The following is a 21450-nucleotide window of genomic DNA, read 5'->3' as shown; positions in this document are numbered from 1 at the left end:
AACATAGCCAACCTGATGGAGCTGAAACACACAACACGAAAACTTCACAATGCAGTCACAAGTATCAACAGCAGAATAGACCAAGCAGAGGAAAGAATCCACGGGCTTGAAGACTATCTTTCTGAAATAAGACAGGCAGACAAGAACAGATTAAAAAGAATGAAAAGGAATGAACAAAACCCGTGAGAAATATGGTCTTATGTAAAAAGACTGAACCTAACACTGATTGGGGTACCTGAGAGAGATGGGGAAAATGTAATCAAGTTGGCAAACATACTTCAGGATATCATTCAGGAGAACTTCCCCAACCTAGCAAGACAGGCCAACATTCAAATTCAGGATATGCAGAGAATCACAGTAAGATACCCCACGAGATGATTAACCCCAAGACACATAATCATCAGATTATCCAAGGTTGAAATGAAAGAAATAATGTTAAGGGAAGCCAAGAAGAAATTCCAGGTCACCTATAAAGGGAAGTTCATCACACTAATAGCAGACCTCTCAGCAGAAACCCTACAAGCCAGTTGAGATTGAGGGCCAATATTCAATATTCTCAAATAATTTCCAACCCAGAATTTCATATCTGGCCAAACAGCTTCATAAACATAGGAGAAATAAGATCCCTTTCAGACAAGCAAATGCTGTGGAAATTCATCCCCACCATGCCTGTCTTGCAAGAGCTCCTGAAGAAACCACCAGAAATGGAAAGGAAAAACCATTATCAGTCACTACAAAGACACACTGAAGTACATTGACCAGTGATGCTATGAATCAACCACATAAACAAATCTTCAAAATAACCAGGTAGCATCATGATGACAGGATTAAATTCACACATAACAATACTAACCTTAAATGTAAATGGGCTAAAAGACCCAATTAAAAGACAGAATGACTAGCTGGATAAGAGCCAAGAACCATGGGTATGTGTTGTCTCCATGAGACCCATCTCACATGCAAAGACACACAGAGGCTGAATATAAGGGGATGGAGGAAAATTTACCAAACAAATGAAAAGCAGAAAAAAAGCAAGCATTGCAATCCTACTTTCTGACAAAACAGACTTTGAACTAATAAAGATATTTTTTAAAGGCAGAAGCATTACACAATTGTAAAGGGTTCAATTCAACAAGAAGGGCTGACTATCCTAAATATACATGTACCCAATACCAGAGCACCCATATTTATAAAGCAAGTTCTTAGAGACCTATAAAAAGTCTTAGACTCCCACACAATAGTGGTGGGAGATTTTAACACCTCACTGACAATATTAGACAGATCATTGAGACAGAAAATTAACAAAGATATTCAGAACCTGAACTCAGCTCTGGATCAAGTGGACCTAATAGATATCCAAAGAGCTCTCTACTAAAAAACAACAGAACATATATTGTTCTCATCACCAAATGGCATTTACTCTAAAATTGATCACATAATCAGAAGTAAAACACTTCTCAGCAAATGCAAAAGAACTGAACTTATAAAAAACAGTCTCTCAGACCACAGCACAATCAAATTAGAACTCAAGGTTAAGAAATTCATTCAAAACCACACAACTACATGGAAATCATGTAACCTACTCCTGAATGACTCCTGGGTAAATAATGAAATTAAGGAAGAAATCAAGAAGGTCTTTAACGCTAATGAGAACAAAGAGACAATGTACCAGAATTGCTAGGATACAGCTAAAGCAGTGTTAAGGGGGAAATTTCTAGCACTAAATGTCCACATAAAAAGCTAGAAAAATCTCAAATCAACAAACTAACATCACAACTAAAACAAATAGAGAACCAAGAGCAAACAAACTCAAAAGCTAGCAGAAGATAAGAAATAACCAAGATCAGAATGGAAGAGAAGGAGATAGAGACACATACACACAGAAAAACCCTTAAAAATTAACGAATCTAAGAGCTGGTTTTTTGAAAACACTAATAAAATAGATAGACTACTAGCTAGACTAATAAAGAAGAAAAGAGAGAAGAATCAGATAAACACAATCAGAAATGACAAGGGGGATATCACCACTGACCCCACAGAGAATCAGAGAACCATCAGAGAATCCTATAAACAACTCTATATAAATAAAGTAGAAAATCTAGAATAAATGAATAAATTCCTGGACACATACATCCTCCCAAGATTGAACCAGAAAGAAATTGAATCTCTGAATAGACCAATAATCAGTTCCAAAACTGAGGTAGTAATAAATAGCTTACCAAAGGCAAAAAGCCCAGAACCAAATTTACAGCTGAAATATACTAGAGGTACAAAGAAGAGCTTGTACCATTTCTACTGAAACTATTCCAAAAAAATGTAAAAGGAGGGAATTCTCACTAACTCATTTTATGAGGCCAGCATCATCCTGATACCAAAACCTGGCAGATATATAACAAAAAAGAAAACTTCAGGACAATATCCCTGATAAACATTGATGCAAAAATCCTCAATAAAATACTAGCAAACTGAATCCAGTAGCACATCAAAAAGCTTATCCGTCATGATCAAGTTGGCTTCATCCCCACATGCAAGGGTGATTCAACATACACAAATCAATAAATGTAATTCATCACATAGAGAGAACTAAAGACAAAAACCACATGATTATCTCAATAGATACAGAAAAGGCCTTCAGTAAAATTTAACTTTGTTCATGTTAAAAACTCTAAATAGATGAGCTACTGAAGGAATATATTTCAAAATAATAAGAGGCATATAAGAACAAACCCACAACGAATATCATACTGATTGGGCAAAAGCTGGAAGCATTCCCCTTGTAAACTGGCACAAGAATGCTTTTTCACCACTCCTATCCAACATAGTATTGGAAGTTCTGGCCGGGGCAATAACGCAAAAGAAAGACATAAAGCATATTCAAATAGAAATAGAGGAAGTCAAATTATCTTTATTTGCAGATGACATAAGCCTATATCTGGAAAAACCCATCATCTCAGCCCAAAAGCTTCTTAAGCCAATGAGCAACTCCAGCAAAGTCTCAGGATACAAAATCAATGTCCAAAGTCACAAGCATTCCTACACACCAACCAAAGGCAAGCAGTGAGCCAAATCATGAATAAACTTGCATTCACAATTGTTAAAGATACAACAAAATATCTAGAAATACAGCTAACAAGGGAAATGAAGGACTTCTTCAAGAACTACAAAGCACTGCTCAAAGAAATCAAAGAGGACACAAACAAATGGAGAAACATTCCATGGTCATGGATAGGAAGAATCAATACCATGAAAATGGCCATACTGCCCAAAGTAATTTATAGATTCAATGCTATTACCATTAAACTACCATTGACATTCTTCACAGAATTAGAAAAAAAAACTACTTTAAAATTCATATGAAACCAAAAAAGAGCGCGAACAGCTAAGACAATCCTTAGCAAGAAGAAAGATGGAGGCATCACGCTACCTGACTTCAAACTATGCTACAAGACTGCAGTAACCAAAACCACATGGTACGGGTTCAAAAACAGGCACATAGACCAATGGAACAGGTTAGAGAGCCTAGAAATAAAGCCACACACATACAACCACCTAATCTTTGACAAACCTGACAAAAACAAGCAATGGGGAAAGGATTCCCTGTATCATAATTGGTGCTGGGAGAACTGGCTAACCAAATGCATAAAACTAAAACTGGACCTTTTCCTTACACCTTACACAAAATTTAACTCAAGATAGATTAAGGACTTAAATGTAAAACACAAAACTATAAATCCCTAGAAGAAAACCTAGGCAATACCATTCAGGACATAGGCACAGGCCAAGATTTCATGACAAAAATGCAAAAAGCAATAGCAACAAAAGCAAAAATTGACAAATGAGATCTAATTAAAGTAAAGAGCTTATGCAGAGCAAGAGAAGCTATCATTGGTGTGAACAGCCTATAGAATGGGAGAAAAATTTAACAATCTATCTATCTAAGGTCCTGCATCCAGAGTCTACAAGAAACTTAAACAAATTTACAAGAAAAAATCCAATTAAAAAAGTGAGAATAGGACATGGACTGATATTTCCCGAAAGAAGACATATATGTGTCCAACAAACATATAAAAAATGCTCAACATCATTGATCATTAGAGAAATGCAAATCAAAACTAGAATGAGATACCATCTCACGTCAGTCAGAATGGCAATTATTAAAAAGTCAAAAAACAACAAATGCTGGCAAGGTTGTGGAGAAAAAGGAATGCTTTTACAATGTTGGTGGAAGTGTATGTTAGTTCAATCATTGTGGAAGATGGCATGGTGATTCCTCAAAGATCTAGAGGCATTGACCCAGCAATCCCATTCCTGGGTATATACCCAAAGGAATATAAATTATTCTATTATAAAGATACATGTATGTATATGTTCATTGCAGCACTATTCACAATAGCATAGACATGGAATCAACCCAAACACCTGTCAATGATAGACTGGATAAAGAAAATGTGGTACATATAGACCATGGAATACTATAGAGCCATAAAAAAGAACAAGACCATGTCCCTTGCAGGGACGTGGATGGAGCTGGAAGCCGCTATCCTCAGCAAACTAACACAGGAACAGAAAAACAAATACCGCATGTTCTCACTTATAAGTGGGAGCTGAACGATGAGAATGAATGGACACGTGAGGGGAAACAACACACACTGGGGCCTGTGTAGGGTGTGGGGGTGGGCGGAAGGAGAGCATCAGGAAGAACAGCTAATGGGTGCTGGGCTTAATACCGGAATGGGATGATCTGTGCAGCAAACCATCATGGCACACCTATGTAACAGATCTGCACATCCTGCACATGATCTTGGAACTTAAAAGTTGAGAAAAAAAAGTAAGTATATATGTTTTCCAAAAAAAGAGAAGACAATGTTATTTTTATCCTGCATTTTAGAATCTACCCGTTTAAAACAAACATATCTTCAATACTTCCTGTCCGCTGTTTATTCCTCTCTTGCCTGAATATTCTGTGTTTATTGACACTCAAAATTTGTGCTTTCTTCACTGTTTTTCAAATATTTGTTATGCTATCATAGCTCTCTTCTTTTCTAACAAATTTATTGATGTATCTTACTTTCACTTACTTCATATACCACCAAATGAATGGAGTACTACTTCAGCCATTCTATTTTAATATTAAATAAAGAATAAATTTCAACAAAACAAAACTTAGCTCCATTAACAAGCCTTGAAGTTTTATAAGTTGCAATTTATCTACTTCCTGTAACATTGCTGAAACATCTACTTTTTATCCTTTATTTACTCATTTTTTAATTACATAGAAGATATAAATCTTTCTACTTTAATATTAATTAAAATGTAACTATTTTTAAAAGGCTGATAAGCATAGCTTTAGACTACTCATCCTGTATTACTCTGTAGCCTAGCAGACTTCACTTCCTAGTAGAGCAAACAACAATTCTTTTTCCATTTGTGAAACTGAGGTATTAACAACTATACTGGCCTGCCTGGGCTGCCATAACAAAATACTACCGACTGGATGGCGTAAATAACAGAATTTTATTTCTCAGAGTTCTTGAATCTGAAAGTCCAAGATCAAGATTTCAGCAGTTTTGGTTTCTGCTGAGACTTCTTACCTTGGCTTACAGATGGTCACTTTCTCACTGTGTCCTCACATTTCTTGTATGCATATTTCTGCTATCTCTTCTTCTTATAGAGACATCAGCCACATCGTATTAGAATCCCACCCTTATCAACTCATTTAGCCTTATTTACCTCCATAGTGGCTCAGCTCCTAATACAGTCACACTGGAAGTTAAGGCTTCAAAATATGAATTTTGGCGGGGGGGACACAGTTCATTCCATAATACAATATTCTGAGGACTAAATAAGATTATATATATATATATATATATATATATATATATATATACACACATACAATTTATAGCATGGTAACTTAAGCCTAGAAATAGTCAAGATGGTTTATCTTTATTATATAATTATCACATCACAATCGTCATTACTCTGTCATCTAGAGATGACACTTATAAATTGAATAATATGAATATAACATTAATTCCATATCAGAATGAATAATACAAACAAATGAACAACACCATACATTGCTGCAATGTATGCTTTGTTACCATGTAGGAGAAAATATTTGGAGAAAAGAGACAGAGAAGCTATCTTGAAAATATTTTTTAAATGTGTTTGTAAAACAGAGAGTGATTTTCTTTTGTTCATGAAGACAAACTGGATAATCTGGTTAAAGTATTAAGTAGGGATATTTCAGCTCAATATAAATAAGCATAATTTACTAGTTATAGACTAGGTTTCTTTAAAAAGTGGTGAGGTTCTCATTTGCAAAATATTTTAAGCAAAAGGTAGACCTCACATTCTGTGATGTGGTTGGGTGGTAGGTTGGTTCAAATGACTTCTAAGTTCAATTCCTTCCAGCTTCCGAACTCTGGTCTTAGTTGATTTACTTTTGGGATTTGCGTAGGAGTGGGTCCATACATGATGCCCAACAGGATTTTTAGCATAATGAATGAAACAGCACTTAGAATTTGAAGGCGTTTACAGGGAAAAATATGTCTAAGTGAAAATTGCTGTAGTTACTTGGATAAATACATATTTTTAAATGAAAGAAAGAAACTAAGTGGTGATGATAATGAGTTACAGGTGTGAGTAGTGCTGGGCTGTGGGAGATATGCATGTATAGAAAACTGAAGGAAAAGATTGGGGAAGGTGGAGTCATGTGAGACTGTGGTCATTCAGAACACTAGTGTATGATGAGACTGAAATGTTTTTGAACTCAATCTAAATTGAGTCAAGCTCAGCAATTGTCTGGAATTTGTTTGAGAGACACTTTATCACATACTTTTTGAAGCTGGATTTGGTATTAAGATTAATTATACATAATGGTTTTTTATAGGACTTACAGAATAATTGGCTGAGAGAATAATTTTGAGATATCAGTGATCAACTAGGCTCAGGAAATATATATCTGTATCTATAGCTATATCTATATACATATCTATAGATATATCTATAGCTATATCTATATACATATCTATAGATATATCTATAGCTATATCTATATACATATCTATAGATATATCTATATACATATCTATAGATATATCTATATACATATCTATAGATATATCTATATACATATCTATAGATATATCTATATACATATCTATAGATATATCTATATACATCTATAGATATATCTATATACATCTATAGATATATCTATATACATATCTATAGATATATCTATATACATATCTATATCTATAGATATATCTATATACATATCTATAGATATATCTATACACATATCTATATCCATAGATATATCTATATACATATCTATACACATATCTATATATATATAGATATATCTATATACATATCTATAACTCATCTATATCTATGTGAGCAATTTGAAACTAGGGCTAAGCCTATTCACACTAAGAGTCTCTATATACATTGCAATTCTTCCAATTCTTCTGAATGCGGGATATTCTTTGATTTCTCCAGAGAAAAAACAGTTTCATCTTTCCACATTTCATTCAAGTATTAGTTCCTCTGAAACTAATATGTATGGTTAATTCGTATTATTCACACTATTTTCTTAATATATCATCAGTTTTATATTTAAAAGTTTAAATTTTATGGAATTATATATAATTTTAATCCAACTAGAAAAATGTTGTCCTTTCTTTTTCATAGGTATTATAATTCCAACAACATTTGTCTCTTGATTCTTTTTCATATTTTTATTAGTTGCAATTAGGATAGTCTATACTGCAGTAACAAAAGAACCACAATCTCAAGGAATGAACTTCACAGATTTATTGCTCATCTTGTGTCCAGTGCAGGTTTAGTGGCTCTCTTTAAAATCTATTCTTGTATGGATGTCCTCAATATCCTCAATGACGTCTTCCATTCTATGACATTACCTTCTTAAATACTTAAGTTCTAGTGTTACCACGAAAAGGAAAGAGAAGGCATATAAAGGAGGTTTTAGGCCCAAGCATCCAAGGTGTTATATATGTCCTACAAATATGTCATTTCCCAGAACTCCATCGCACAGCCTTCGCTTAACTACAAGCATGAATGCTAAAATATTGATTCTACCTTTGTGCCCAGGAAGAAGGAAAGAAATATAAATTAATAAAACACATTGCATGGTCTCTGCTATCATAAATAACACATTCCAGGAAACAAGGAAGGAGAAGGGAATCAGAACATTTTTGGTAAGTGTGATCTAAAGGAGCAGAGACTGATACGGGATAAAGATGCAGAATAAAATAAAGTTAGGGAAACATATACTGATGATAATCCAGCAATAACCTCAGTCTAGTTAAACCAGAAGGGGGATAATAATTAGATTTAAAATTGAGATGCCAGACCACTTATTAAAAAGTGATATAGGGCTCAAATAATTGGAGAGACAAGGTAAACATGTACACAGATATGTTGTATAGGAGAATCAAATGTGGTAGACTGTATTATTTTTTAAAGATATTTTTGATGCTCAACCTAAAGTGACATTATAAATTCCCATGTGTTTGGAATGGAAATATAACTTGCTCTGTCCAATGAAATATAAATGCAAGTAAGAGGTGTCATTCCGAAGTGTATTAGGAGCCAGTGTGTGTTTTTTCATAAAGTCTTGCCCCCACTCTTTGAACATGAAAGCTCAAGCTGAGATAGAGACTCTGTCAGCCTGATGGTTTCAGTGAATGAAATGAGCAGATCTCATTACTACCTGGTAAACATGCAGTGGGAACTAGAGACAAACTTTGTAGTTTTAAACCACTGAGATATCCAGGCTGTTGGTAATTGAAGAATAGTTTATATCTTCCTGACTGACAACAGAAATTGAGACCAGGAATAAGGATGTGATGTACCAGGAAACTACATTGCGTGTTTTGGATTAAGTGCACAGAAAAGAGTCTATTACTCAGGGCTGGAAAAAAAAAAAGTAATATATACAAAAGTAAAACTTTCAGTAAAATATCCCCTTCGATAACTTGGAAGGCCAATGAGGTGTTCAATATTTTGTACCTTTCAAGGAAGAAAGAAAAAAAACAAAAGAAACTGAGTATGGCTTTCTTAAAGAATCTGATGAGCTCAAAGCACCAGGCATTGATTCCTGAGTGCAATTGTACTTATAGACACAGTGAATAGGGACAAAAAATACTGCAATAAGATACACAAAATATACACATAGATGCTTTACGTATCTTTTTGACCATTATTCCAAGCACCTAACAAATGTCGAGAGCATAGTAGTGTTGTTTTAAATATTGTACAGTATTTCTAGTCTGTAATTTTTTTCTCTCTCTACAATAGGCACCTCTCTCTCTTTCTCTCTTTCTCTCTCTCTCTCACTGTATGTGTGTATTTTAGATTCCTCAGAGACATACACACTATTAGTTGTTATGTTTGCTATTCATCTTTTTAAATTTTTCATTTTTTTCTTTTGCTATCAATATAAATAAAAGAAAAGAATAAAGCTTGCACAACTGTTGAGTCCTGTAGAATCCAGAAATACAGGTTCTTTGAATTCACTGCACGCTACCTGAGATTTGACATCTCCAGAATAGTGTCCTGGTAATAGCTGGAGTCCTTGACATTGTTCTTTATTCATTTTTTCTTTTTCCTGTAACTCTTCCATGTATAACATTTTCATTATTTGTAGTTTCTCAAATTTGCTGAATATTTTCTCCTGGAAATTTACCACTACTCTTTTTTCTCCTCATATATTATGGAAGGTCTATTATTTATTAGGTTTTCCACACAGATTTGAATTTCTCTCTTCCTTATATATTTTCCTCTTCTTCATTAAAAATGCCTTTAATTCATTTTCTGATCCATGCTTATTCTCTTTTTGCCTTATTTAAAAGCTCTCTACTTTCCATTAGTTAATAAAGCAAATGCAAAACAATTATTGGTTAGAAATGTTGTTCTTCCTAATTTCTGTCAAACTTTGTTCATGTGTCTAGTGTAGCCCACTGTCTTATGGACTACATAAACAAATGAGTGTTTTCTCCTGATTATCCCTCCAACAATTTAAAAATATTTCTTCTCTCTCTAAATAATCCAAAGTTTTCCAAGTTTTGTTTACTTACGTAGTGAGAAAAGAAGATTTTTTTTTTTAATTATACTTTAAGTTTTAGGGTACATGTGCACATTGTGCAGGTTAGTTACATATGTATACATGTGCCATGCTGGTGTGCTGCACCCACTAACTCGTCATCTAGCATTAGGTATATCTCCCAATGCTATCCCTCACCCCTCCCCCCACCCCACCACAGTCCCCAGAGTGTGATATTCCCTTTCCTGTGTCCATGTGATCTCATTGTTCAATTCCCACCTATGAGTGAGAATATGTGGTGTTTGCTTTTTTGTTCTTGCGATAGTTTACTGAGAATGATGATTTCCAATTTCATCCATGTCCCTACAAAGGACATGAACTCATCATTTTTTATGGCTGCATAGTATTCCATGGTGTATATGTGCCACATTTTCTTAATCCAGTCTATCATTGTTGGACATTTGGGTTGGTTCCAAGTCTTTGCTATTGTGAATAATGCCGCAATAAACATACGTGTGCATGTGTCTTTATAGCAGCATGATTTATAGTCATTTGGGTATATACCCAGTAATGGGATGGCTGGGTCAAATGGTATTTCTAGTTCTAGATCCCTGAGGAATCGCCACACTGACTTCCACAATGGTTGAACTAGTTTACAGTCCCACCAACAGTGTAAAAGTGTTCCTATTTCTCCACATCCTCTCCAGCACCTGTTGTTTCCTGACTTTTTAATGATTGCCATTCTAACTGGTGTGAGATGGTATCTTATAGTGGTTTTGATTTGCATTTCTCTGATGGCTAGTGATGATGAGCATTTTTTCATGTGTTTTTTGGCTGCATAAATGTCTTCTTTTGAGAAGTGTCTGTTCATGTCCTTCACCCACTTTTTGATGGGGTTGTTTGTTTTTTTTTGTACATTTGTTTGAGTTCATTGTAGATTCTGGATATTAGCCCTTTGTCAGATGAGTAGGTTGCAAAAATTTTCTCCCATTTTGTAGGTTGCCTGTTCACTCTGATGGTAGTTTCTTTTGCTGTGCAAAAGCTCTTTAGTTTAATTAGATCCCATTTGTCAATTTTGGCTTTTGTTGCCATTGCTTTTGGTGTTTTGGACATGAAGTCCTTGCCCATGCCTATGTCCTGAATGGTAATGCCTAGGTTTTCTTCTAGGGTTTTTATGGTTTTAGGTCTAATGTTTAAATCTTTAATCCATCTTGAATTAATTTTTGTATAAAGTGTAAGGAAGGGATCCAGTTTCAGCTTTCTACATATGGCTAGCCAGTTTTCCCAGCACCATTTATTAAATAGGGAATCCTTTCCCCATTGCTTGTTTTTCTCAGGTTTGTCAAAGATCAGATAGTTGTAGGTATGCGGCGTTATTTCTGAGGGCTCTGTTCTATTTTTAATTGACAATGGTAGGATTTTAAAATCATGTTTGTTTCAATTCTGTTATCCATTTATATCTTCTTTAGTATGTTGCATTCGGTTAACATTTTTATTCAAACACATATATTTAAACTTGTATTCTTATTGAATGGCTCTAACACAATAGGCTTTTATTTGGTGTTTAGTCTACTTTCTGTTCTAGATTCAGTTGAAATACCCTTTCAATACTCAAACTGTCTTAAGTGTAGCAATGGCATGATAGCCTTACATTTTCTTTCATGTCTGTTCTTGATGATATACAAATTTAGAACCATGAGATTTTTCCATGCTGACTCTTGGAATTTTATAAAATGTCAAGTAAAATTTTCATATATTTCAACATCTATATACACACAGTAAAACTACTCTAGTTTAAAGGCTATATTTACAATAATTGCTATAAAGGTACAAGGCAGGGTTTTCACTCAAGGGAACTCAAAGGAAAGGACACTATGTGTATATCTGTGCCTTTGTGGAAGTTAAAAAAATCCTAAGTACTTCCCCTTTTCCCATTTGGCATAATGATAATGCAGCCATTTCAAAAATCCATTTTCTCCTGTGAAGTCCATGAAGTTAGGACTTTTGTGTCTTACTCTCTACTGTATCCTGAGTGCTTCGCATATTGTCTGCCATATATAATTGTGTTTTAGTAAATGGAGGAGAATAGAAGTTATTCAAGGGTTGAAGAGGCAGCCTTCCAGACAGAGCAAACTGCATGGCATATCCTTTCCCCTGTGTGCAGTGATGGTGCTGAACTCATCTTTATTGTGATTTATTCTTTCTTCAGCTTCTATTGCTTCTATTGCTCTTTGGTAAATATCAAAATTCTAAGCATGTTTTAGTAGGCCCTTAGTAATTTTTCATTTGCTTGCCTTTCTGGATTTCTATCTTACCACTTGCAACTATGATGCAATCATACTGAGCTATTATCAGTTTCTTTATATCCCTGAGATATGCCTATCTAACAAACTTTACCTTATATTCTTCATCTAGCTAATGCCTATTCACCCTGAATGTTTCAACTTTTAGGTATTTTCTTTCTAGGAGACTTCTCAACTTTGCAAGCACAGCTTAGATACCTCTGATATGAACTTCCACTAAACTATATACTTCTAATTTATGCACTTTCAAAATATGTCATTATTATGTATCCTATGTCTGATTATAATGTAATCTTTGTTAATGGAGCATGTCTCTGTTGCTCTTCATATTTTTAGCACCTAACACAGAATATAAAACCTAGAAACTGCTCAAATATTTACTATTGGTTGTTGAATACAGGACACCTTTTAGGAAGTCAGAGCTTCTGAATTTTATTGCTAAGAAATTATTCTACATCTTTTCAGCAGAAAAACCTACATGTTGAAGGTAAAATGGTGTATTAGTTCATTCTTGCTGTAAAGAAATACCTGAGACTAGGTAATGTCTAAATAAAGGAAGTTTAATTGGCTCATTGTTCTCAGGCTGTACAGGAAACACAGTAGCTTCTGCTTCTGGGGAAGCCTCAGGAAACTTAGAATAGTGGCGCAAGGTAAAGAGGAAACAGGCACATCTTACATGGCCAGAGCAGGAGCAAATGAGAGAAAGGAAGGTGGCGCTACACACTTTTAAACAACCAGATCTTGTGAGAACTCTAATGAGGAAAGCACCAAAGGGATGGTGCTAAACCATACATGAAGGGTTCACCCCCGTGACCCAATCACCTTTCACCAGGCCCCACTTCCAACACTGGGGATTATAATCGAACGTGAGATTTGGGTACAGGCACAGATCCAAACCACATCAAATGGTAAACAGACAGATAAGAATAGTTAGCCTTGAAAGTACAGTGTTAAAGGTCAGTAAGTCCATAGTAAGACACTGTGTATTTCCAGTTGTAGTACTTAATAGGCAGAGTACCATAGCCCATGTGGCATTGAATATCTAAAGCAAAGAACTTTGATCAACATTTTAAAAATGTGGTTTAAAATTAAAAACAATGTCCAAAGACTTCTTCAGTCCCATGTTCACTTAAGAAATATTTTCAGTCCATGCAAGTGGTTTGGTGCATAGATAAATATATAGTAAACTGCACATAGTTGAGGGATCTTATAGAGAGCACGAAAGCCCTCACTGGCCTCAGTCAAAAGAATTAGTAATTATAGATCCAACGGAAATTAATTAAGCGGGGCAATGCCTTCTCTTTAAAAAATGTACAGGAGCATAACCCGTTTTGTTCAGGTATGATCACTTTACAACCACAAATTGATGGTTTTAAAGATATAAAAATAGATATCCCATTACTTACTAGATTTGCTACACCTATCAAAGAAGTTGGTTCAAACTAGAAAACATGGGACTTTTCTCTACCATTCAAACATAACATATAGGCCTCTGACTGCCTGGAATTCATAACAAAATTTCAAATCTTTTTACAACAGCTGCTGAAATTATGCCTTTAGCTAATCATAGAGTGAGACTGTGGACATGTGCTTGCATGCCTGTGTGTATGTATGGTATGTAATTTGGTTACATTCGGTTCTCACTTGGTTTGAAATGCAGAACTCCTTTTTATTTTTTTTAAGTTAGCTTCCATGAACTCATTTCCTTTAAATTGTATTTATAATGAAATTTTCTGATTTAAATTGCTCTCTCTTTTTCTCTCTGCATGCCCCCCCCACACCACATTTGATTTTATTTCTGTTTTTGATGGACTGTTTACCTTCTTTCCCTTTGAATTTTTCTCCATTTTTTCCTTTATATGTGTTTTACCTGACAGGTTTCTCTTCTCTCATTGAGAAGTCAGAAAAATGCATTTATTTGGAGACATATGCCACTTTTTTCCTTGTTTAAACTCTTTCCTTCTGTTTTTTTTTTCTTATCTTGTCCTTATTCCTTGCCAGCCTGTTGTCCACTGCCTTTTACCCAAACGCTTTTTGAAATCCTCCTGCTATTTGAGCTTTCCTTGAGGGAGAACATAGGTTCTCCCTCAAATCCCATTTTGTTCCTTTCTTAATTTGTGAAAGTGAGGCAGTCACATAGAAAGATTCTGAGACAGGAATCCAGAGAGAACTAGGTTTAAATTTGGCTTGCTTCTTGCTCCCTGCATAGCCTTGGGTGAGTAATTGGCCCGTTCTGAGTCTCAGTTTCCTTCAGTGAAATTGAGATCCTAATAATCACCTTGAGAGATTGCTGCCAGGATTAGAGACAATGAAGGTAAAGTACCTGTTTTGGAATTGGCACTCCACATTAAGAAGTCCTTCTTGTCATTTTTCTCCTTATTACTGTCCCAGTAGGATTACTGTATTCACTAGCGCAGACATTAATAGTTTTGTTGCTTTATTTTTCCTTCCAGTGTAGACCCTTGAAGCTGAGAAGCTGGGCATGCTTCCATTTTAATTTGACATGTTTTGGGGGAGTTTGTACAGAGAAGTTAATCCAAAGGTTACATTTAGACATCTTTTCATAAATAATCACTAATACATACTTGTGCTCTATATAGAAAATATTATGTCTGATTACCTTTATATTTTTGGACAGTGTTTTTGACTGCCAATAATCAATTACAACACTTTTCTCTCCTTAAATGTACTTATACAATTAGATTAACAGTGCTTTCTTAAAATAGTACTCTTTTATTCCACTTTTTAAACTAGAAGTAAATATACTGACTTTTCTTATAATTATGATTATGTTAATTTTTTCAAACTAGTTCTTAATATGTACCATGACTACAAATATCATTAGGGATTTTCTATCGTCTAAGGTTTGGATTGTTAATTTGGGTAATTTAAAAACAGAAATATCCTCAGTAAATTTCAGAGAACTTCCCACAAAGTCAAGTTCTAGGTGAGCTGATTTGCAACACTAAATGCAGCAATCAAAGTAAAACTACATCTTTTTATCTTCAACCTACCAAAAAGGAAGCACAGTATTCTTGAGTATCAAAGATATGTGGACTAACTCACAAATAGAATCTTTTGAATGGAGCCCAAACCATTAGGCTGCAGGATAAGTGTTCCATTAACCCATGGCAAAATTTAATCATTCACCGGGGACACAAAACCCAAATTGCCTTTTGAAAATATAGGTCTGGCCGGGCGCGCTGGCTCACGCCTGAAATCCCAGCACTTTGGGAGGCCGAGGCGGGTGGATCACAAGGTCAGGAGATTGAGACCATCCTGGCTAACATGGTGAAACCTCGTCTCTACTAAAAATACAAAAAATCAGCCGGGCATGGTGGCGGGTGCCTGTAGTCCCAGCTACTCAGGAGGCTGAGGCAGGAGAACGCCGTGAACCCGGAAGGCAGAGCTTGCAGTGAGCCGAGATTGCGCCACTGCACTCCAGCCTGGGCGACAGAGCGAGACTCCGTCTCGAAAAAAAAAAAAAAAAGAAAAAGAAAGAAAATACAGGTCTTCAACTGGTAATTTTTCCAATTGTAGCCTTTGTCAAAAGTAGGCAGCTTCAAACTGGAGATGGTAGCCTTAGGGTTTGGATTCATTATGTCTCCTACAGATACCATCTTTTATCAGATACATTTATTTGGAAATGCGATTATTGGCCTATACATTAGTCAGCTCAGGCTTCCATAACAAAATAATGTAGACTTAGTGACTTGAACAACAGAAATTTATTTAGTCACAGATCTGGAGACTGGAAGTCCAAGATCAAGGTGTCACAAGGTCGATTTCTGGAGAATGCTCTTCCTTCAGATTGTAGACAGCCAGCTTCTTGCGGTGTACTCACATGGTAGACAGAAGAGAGAGTGAGCAAGCTCTCTGCTATCTCTTCTTATAAGAGCCCCCATTCCATCAGAAAGAGTGCCACATGCATGACCTCATCGAACCCTAATTATTTCCTAAAGACCACATGGCCAAACTCCATCAAACTGAGGATTAGGGGTTCAACATATACATTTCAGAGGGACACAAGCATTCAGTCCATAACAGCCTGCTACAGGGCTCAGATCAAAACTGAACACTTCACCCAATATTCTGTTAGTAGTGTGGAAAGTGGGATAAGTTACACTGACTGCTCTCAAGCAGTCCTTCCAAAGAAAATGACTAGACTCAATTATCCAAACAGAATTGGAAACTTTAAGGCTTACCAGCCACCTGAGAGGACATGGTGAAGACAACCTGAGTCATCCAACTGGTATAGCCCCATATTGGGATGCGGGAGGCGAGGGCCCAGAAATTGTACTATTTTATTTCCACGGATCTATGTGTGCATTTAGGACTGTACACCTTGTGTATAATCCAAATATTAGCTTGTTTGGCCCTAAGACTACAGTAGCTTTCACCGTAAAGGCAGGGACTTTAAGTGTTAAAGTGAACACTACCAGTAGCTCAGACAGTCCTCTACAGAAATACCTCTGAAACAATGCTGCCTACCTTTAGTTCCAACAGAGATCCCCACAAAGATAACTAACTCATTGATTATGTACACTCAAATCATAGTACATTTGCCATGGGAGTTGTCCAATTAGAAAATATGGTATAAAATATGTCTCTCACTTTATTTCGTAGGCTGAGTTCCTGGAATGAGTAGTCTTCATTGGCTGTTTATTAATATGTACTTCTCAAGTTTCCATCTTGCTGTGCAGACTACACTATCCCTGCTTCTTTTGTTGAGTCATCTTATCCTGTCCAACCTTTCCACTTTGTTGCTCAGAACATCTATAAACTCTTTTCTCTTCGCATTATACCTTCTTTCCTTTTGTCTTATTTCCTGTCTCCTACAACTTCACCTTAGAGAAATCTAACCCATATATCTATCTGCCAGATACTTTATATACACATCCCATTTAATCCTTACATTCAACCTGTTGGGTAACCATTTTATCCCTGTTTTACAGATGGTAAAACTGAGACCTACAGTGGTTCTGTAACAAAATAGCAAGGCCTAAGTTTGAACCTGTGGGTTAAACACTATGTTCTTTTCCACTTCCCAACTTATCTTGTGATTTTAAAAAGAAAGTTAATATTAGTTCTACTTAAAAGCCATAATGAGCTCTCCATGTCTTGTAGAAGAAAGTTTGAGTTTCTGTTCTTGGATACAAGTGGCTCTATGACAGGAGACACAGCCATTCCTCAATACGTAACCTCTCATTGAATCATACTCAATTGTTTACATTTTTTTTCTGAAAAAGCCTGATTTTACCTTTGCACATCTTTTGTTCTTTGTTTGAAATGCATCTCTCTTCCTTATCAACTGAGAAACTGCTGTTCATACTTTAATCCTTTATCCTCTTCCTCAGCCCTGGAACTGCTACCTAAGTAGAGAGCCTTCCAATATATTCTTATATTATAACATGTTTTACATGGTATTTATAAGTGTCTCTATCCTCCTAGGTTTTGAACTCACTAAGGATATGGATCTATTGATAATTGTAACTTTGACTTAAAACATAGACACTTAAAATACAGTTTATTAAATAAAATAACCATTTTTGGCTTATGGCCTTGGAAAATTCATTAACCATATTTTTGTTTATGCGCTATTAAGCAAAGCTGTTATTTTTCTCTATGTATGTTCATTTGATAATGATGTTTATGCTAAAATTTCCAAAACTTTTTAAAATTTATTTAAATTATTGATGTACATATAATCATTTCCTCTCTTTCTTTCCCCATCTGTCTTGGTAGTAACTGAAAAGAGCAGACATTGAGCCAAAGCTAGGATCTGTATCATAGTAACAGACTGGGTTTCAGATAACTACACTTCCCCTTCCCCCCAGCCCCCACCCCATTGCTCCTGGGCTTCTGACTTCATAGACACTAATGCAGTAATGCAGAGATTTCACTCAATGTATAAGAGATCATGAGGTCATCATAAAAGTGATAGAAGTTGGAAACCAAAATATTTATTCTAGGCTAGAAGCCAATGATTGCTACACAAAAACAAACAAAAACAAGACACAGATCTAACAATTAATTAGTTTTCTCTTGTTAATCTCCTTAGTTGCCTCTACTTAAGGGTGAAAAATTTTTGTTAAATATTTTTCAAGGTACCAACAATAAAAATTTCATTGTCATATTTTTTAAAGAGAAATTTAGTGATAATAATTTCAGGTGGTTATTTCCACATTCTGCCCCAGGATAGACATTTCATGGCAGTAGCAGAGCAAATAAAAAACCTGGGCCCTTGACACTCAAGAATTGCATTTTAATCCATTGCATTTCCAGTATTCTTTATTGAGAGCATTTTTAACTCAGTCTTCCCAAACATGCTACTTAAACAAAATTCTTTCAGTAGTGACAGGTATTAAGAACACTCTAGGGGACTCTCTGGATCTTTCTATTACAGTCCCCAGCTAACGGATTTGAAACCTTCTACCCATGCATGTTTCTGCTATAGCAACATCTATACTAACAGTAAGATACAATAATTTATATTTCCAAATACTGTAGTTGAACTATAAGGCATTTGATTATTTTATCATCATTGTTGGAATATAACTTAGAATATTCTAAGCATATTGACTGAAATGACTAGCAGAAATTTAAAGTAATAATAGAAAAGAAACTTCACAAACACTATTCAGAAAAATAAAGAATCTTTTAGAAGTCTTGATGAGAAACTATTGCCTCTAAGAGTTCCCAACAGTTTCCTTATATATTTTGTCTTCGAGGATTTTAGTTAATGAACGCTATTATTTTAATTATTTAGTACTGCACAGAAATGTATTTTTAATAATGTATTCTGTATATATTGACTAAAGATAAATAATGTTCAATTCACAAACATGAACTATGAACTTACTGAAATTTCAAAAAATAACCTTCTATAGTTAAAAATAAATGCTATCATAGACAAATTTCAATTCAAAATTTGATGTGAAAATCAGGTACTATTTTTTTTCTTTTGTTTTACAGAGAAACCCTTGAACATTCCACATGTTCCTTTTGATTATACTGTGGCCTTAAAATGTAATTTCCACATGGGCAGAGACTTCTGTCTGCTTTATTCACTGCTGTAAATCTATAAGGTCTAAAAATAATGCTTGATATATGGTATACACTAAGAAATATTTGTTGAAAGAATAAATATAATATCACTTCTTGGCTCGCAGGTCAATAGACAAAAGAGATTGGAATATCAATCCCGTATTTCAACATGATCCCTTTTGCTCTTTATTAACTACTTAGTTCCCTCAAGAGATAGAAATTCCTTCATTTTAATCCAAGGAAGAGAAAGAATAAAGAGACATTTGAAAAGGATTGCTTTTCTTGGAATAAAACAATAAAGGTGATAACATCTGTACAAGATAAAGTAGGCTGATTTTGTTGGATCTGAGGTTTAAGATTGCTGTTCTATCTCCTTATGTTTCCTACAAAAAGAAATAATGAAATTGGAAAAATAATTGGAGTAAATATTCAATTACTCTTCTGTAACAGAATTGAGAGTAGAGTTTGGGAAGCCAACCTTAAAAGCAAGCCTGGAAAATCTCCTTGGGCCATCATCATTCTACTTGTCTTCTTGATTTGTGCATTTTATCCATCTCTTAAACAACCTCCTATCACTCTCGCACCCACCAAAATGGATATAGCCATCACGTAATATGGGACTCTTTGAGAACTACCTTTTAATTTTTAAACTGTAAATGTGTTCTTATGATTTAAATCTGTCTAAATGTCAGAAATTCCTCCACTTTGACAAGTCTAAAAATCCTTGGGAAAATTTTTAAACAGCTCCTAATTTAGCTAAGATGACTTAGAATTTCTGTCAGTAATTGGGGTGCAGAAAAAAAAAAAGTTCTGCAGCTTAATTGATGTTTACTACTCTTGAAGGTAACTTCCACTGACACTGCAGACCAGGTTTAAAGGGGCTGCCTAGATGTAGAGTTAGAGATCCTATCTTCTTTTGACAATGAAACTGAAAACCTAGAAACTCTTCTGTTATCTCCTGCAGCTTGTAACCTGACCAACTGTCACAAATCATTGTGTTTTTAGCCTGACATAGTGAAACACCCTAAGGAAACCTGTTTTGTAGGAATCTGGCAAAACAATGATTAGAATAACGATAGTTTGTATGAGGCAATGTATTATAAACTCTTTTTGAATTCTGTAGTGCTCTATACATGTTAGCTGTTTTCATTACCCATAATTGAAGTTGTCATCACTTATTGTTTTCAGTGCTGGGTGAGAAAGTCTTTATTTAACTCATGCTTCCTTTGTATGGGCTCAGAAAATATATCTCATACACATTAACTGCCACAGCTTTCTGGAAAGCTTCCTCTTGTTTGCAGTATCTTTGTGGAAGATTTCTTAAGGTTACATCCCTAGTTTCAAAATGTGACATCTTAGCTGTTAAATGAATTATTTGTGAAGGAAAGTCACTGTGCAATGTATTATTGAAAACACTAAAGATGATGCAGTTTGCTGACTTTTTCTGAAAATAGTGATTCCTGAATATTTTAATATTAATTGAATTTGGAGTTTATAAAGCAAAGAGTTCAGAAACTGAAAGAAAAGAATTGGAGTCTAATGAGAAAGTGCTGAAGGCATGCTCATTAGTACTCATTGGAACTTTAACCCACAAGAGTACAAGTGCCTGTTCTCTATGTCAATACTAATTCATATATTCATGCCTTGTCTTACAAAAGGGTAGAAACACTGAATCCTCTCCCTACTCACCCTCATTTTACTTGGTATTGGTATGTATGTGTGTTTGTGTGTGTGTTCCTGTGTGTTCTCAGAAGTCGTCACTTAGTATTTCAGTATGTATATTGACATTTTTAGAAGTACAAAATCAGCTAGTAGTGTATTAGTGGTTGAAAATTTTCCACTCAGTCCCTTAGTCCCTGCTTATCAATTTATTTTACTGCAAATCTCTGCTCTTTAAGCAGCTACTAATGAGAGGTGATCCCCCAGCAGGAAATAACACAGGCAGGTGGGGAGAAATCCTGCTCTGTGATCTTCTCCCTTTGATATATGCTTAAATAACAGCTCAAAGAATTTCTGCTTCCT

Source organism: Homo sapiens, chromosome 4, assembly GCF_000001405.40.
Source record: "Homo sapiens chromosome 4, GRCh38.p14 Primary Assembly".
NCBI lineage: Eukaryota > Metazoa > Chordata > Mammalia > Primates > Hominidae > Homo > Homo sapiens.
Note: the sequence above shows the minus strand (reverse complement) of the source record.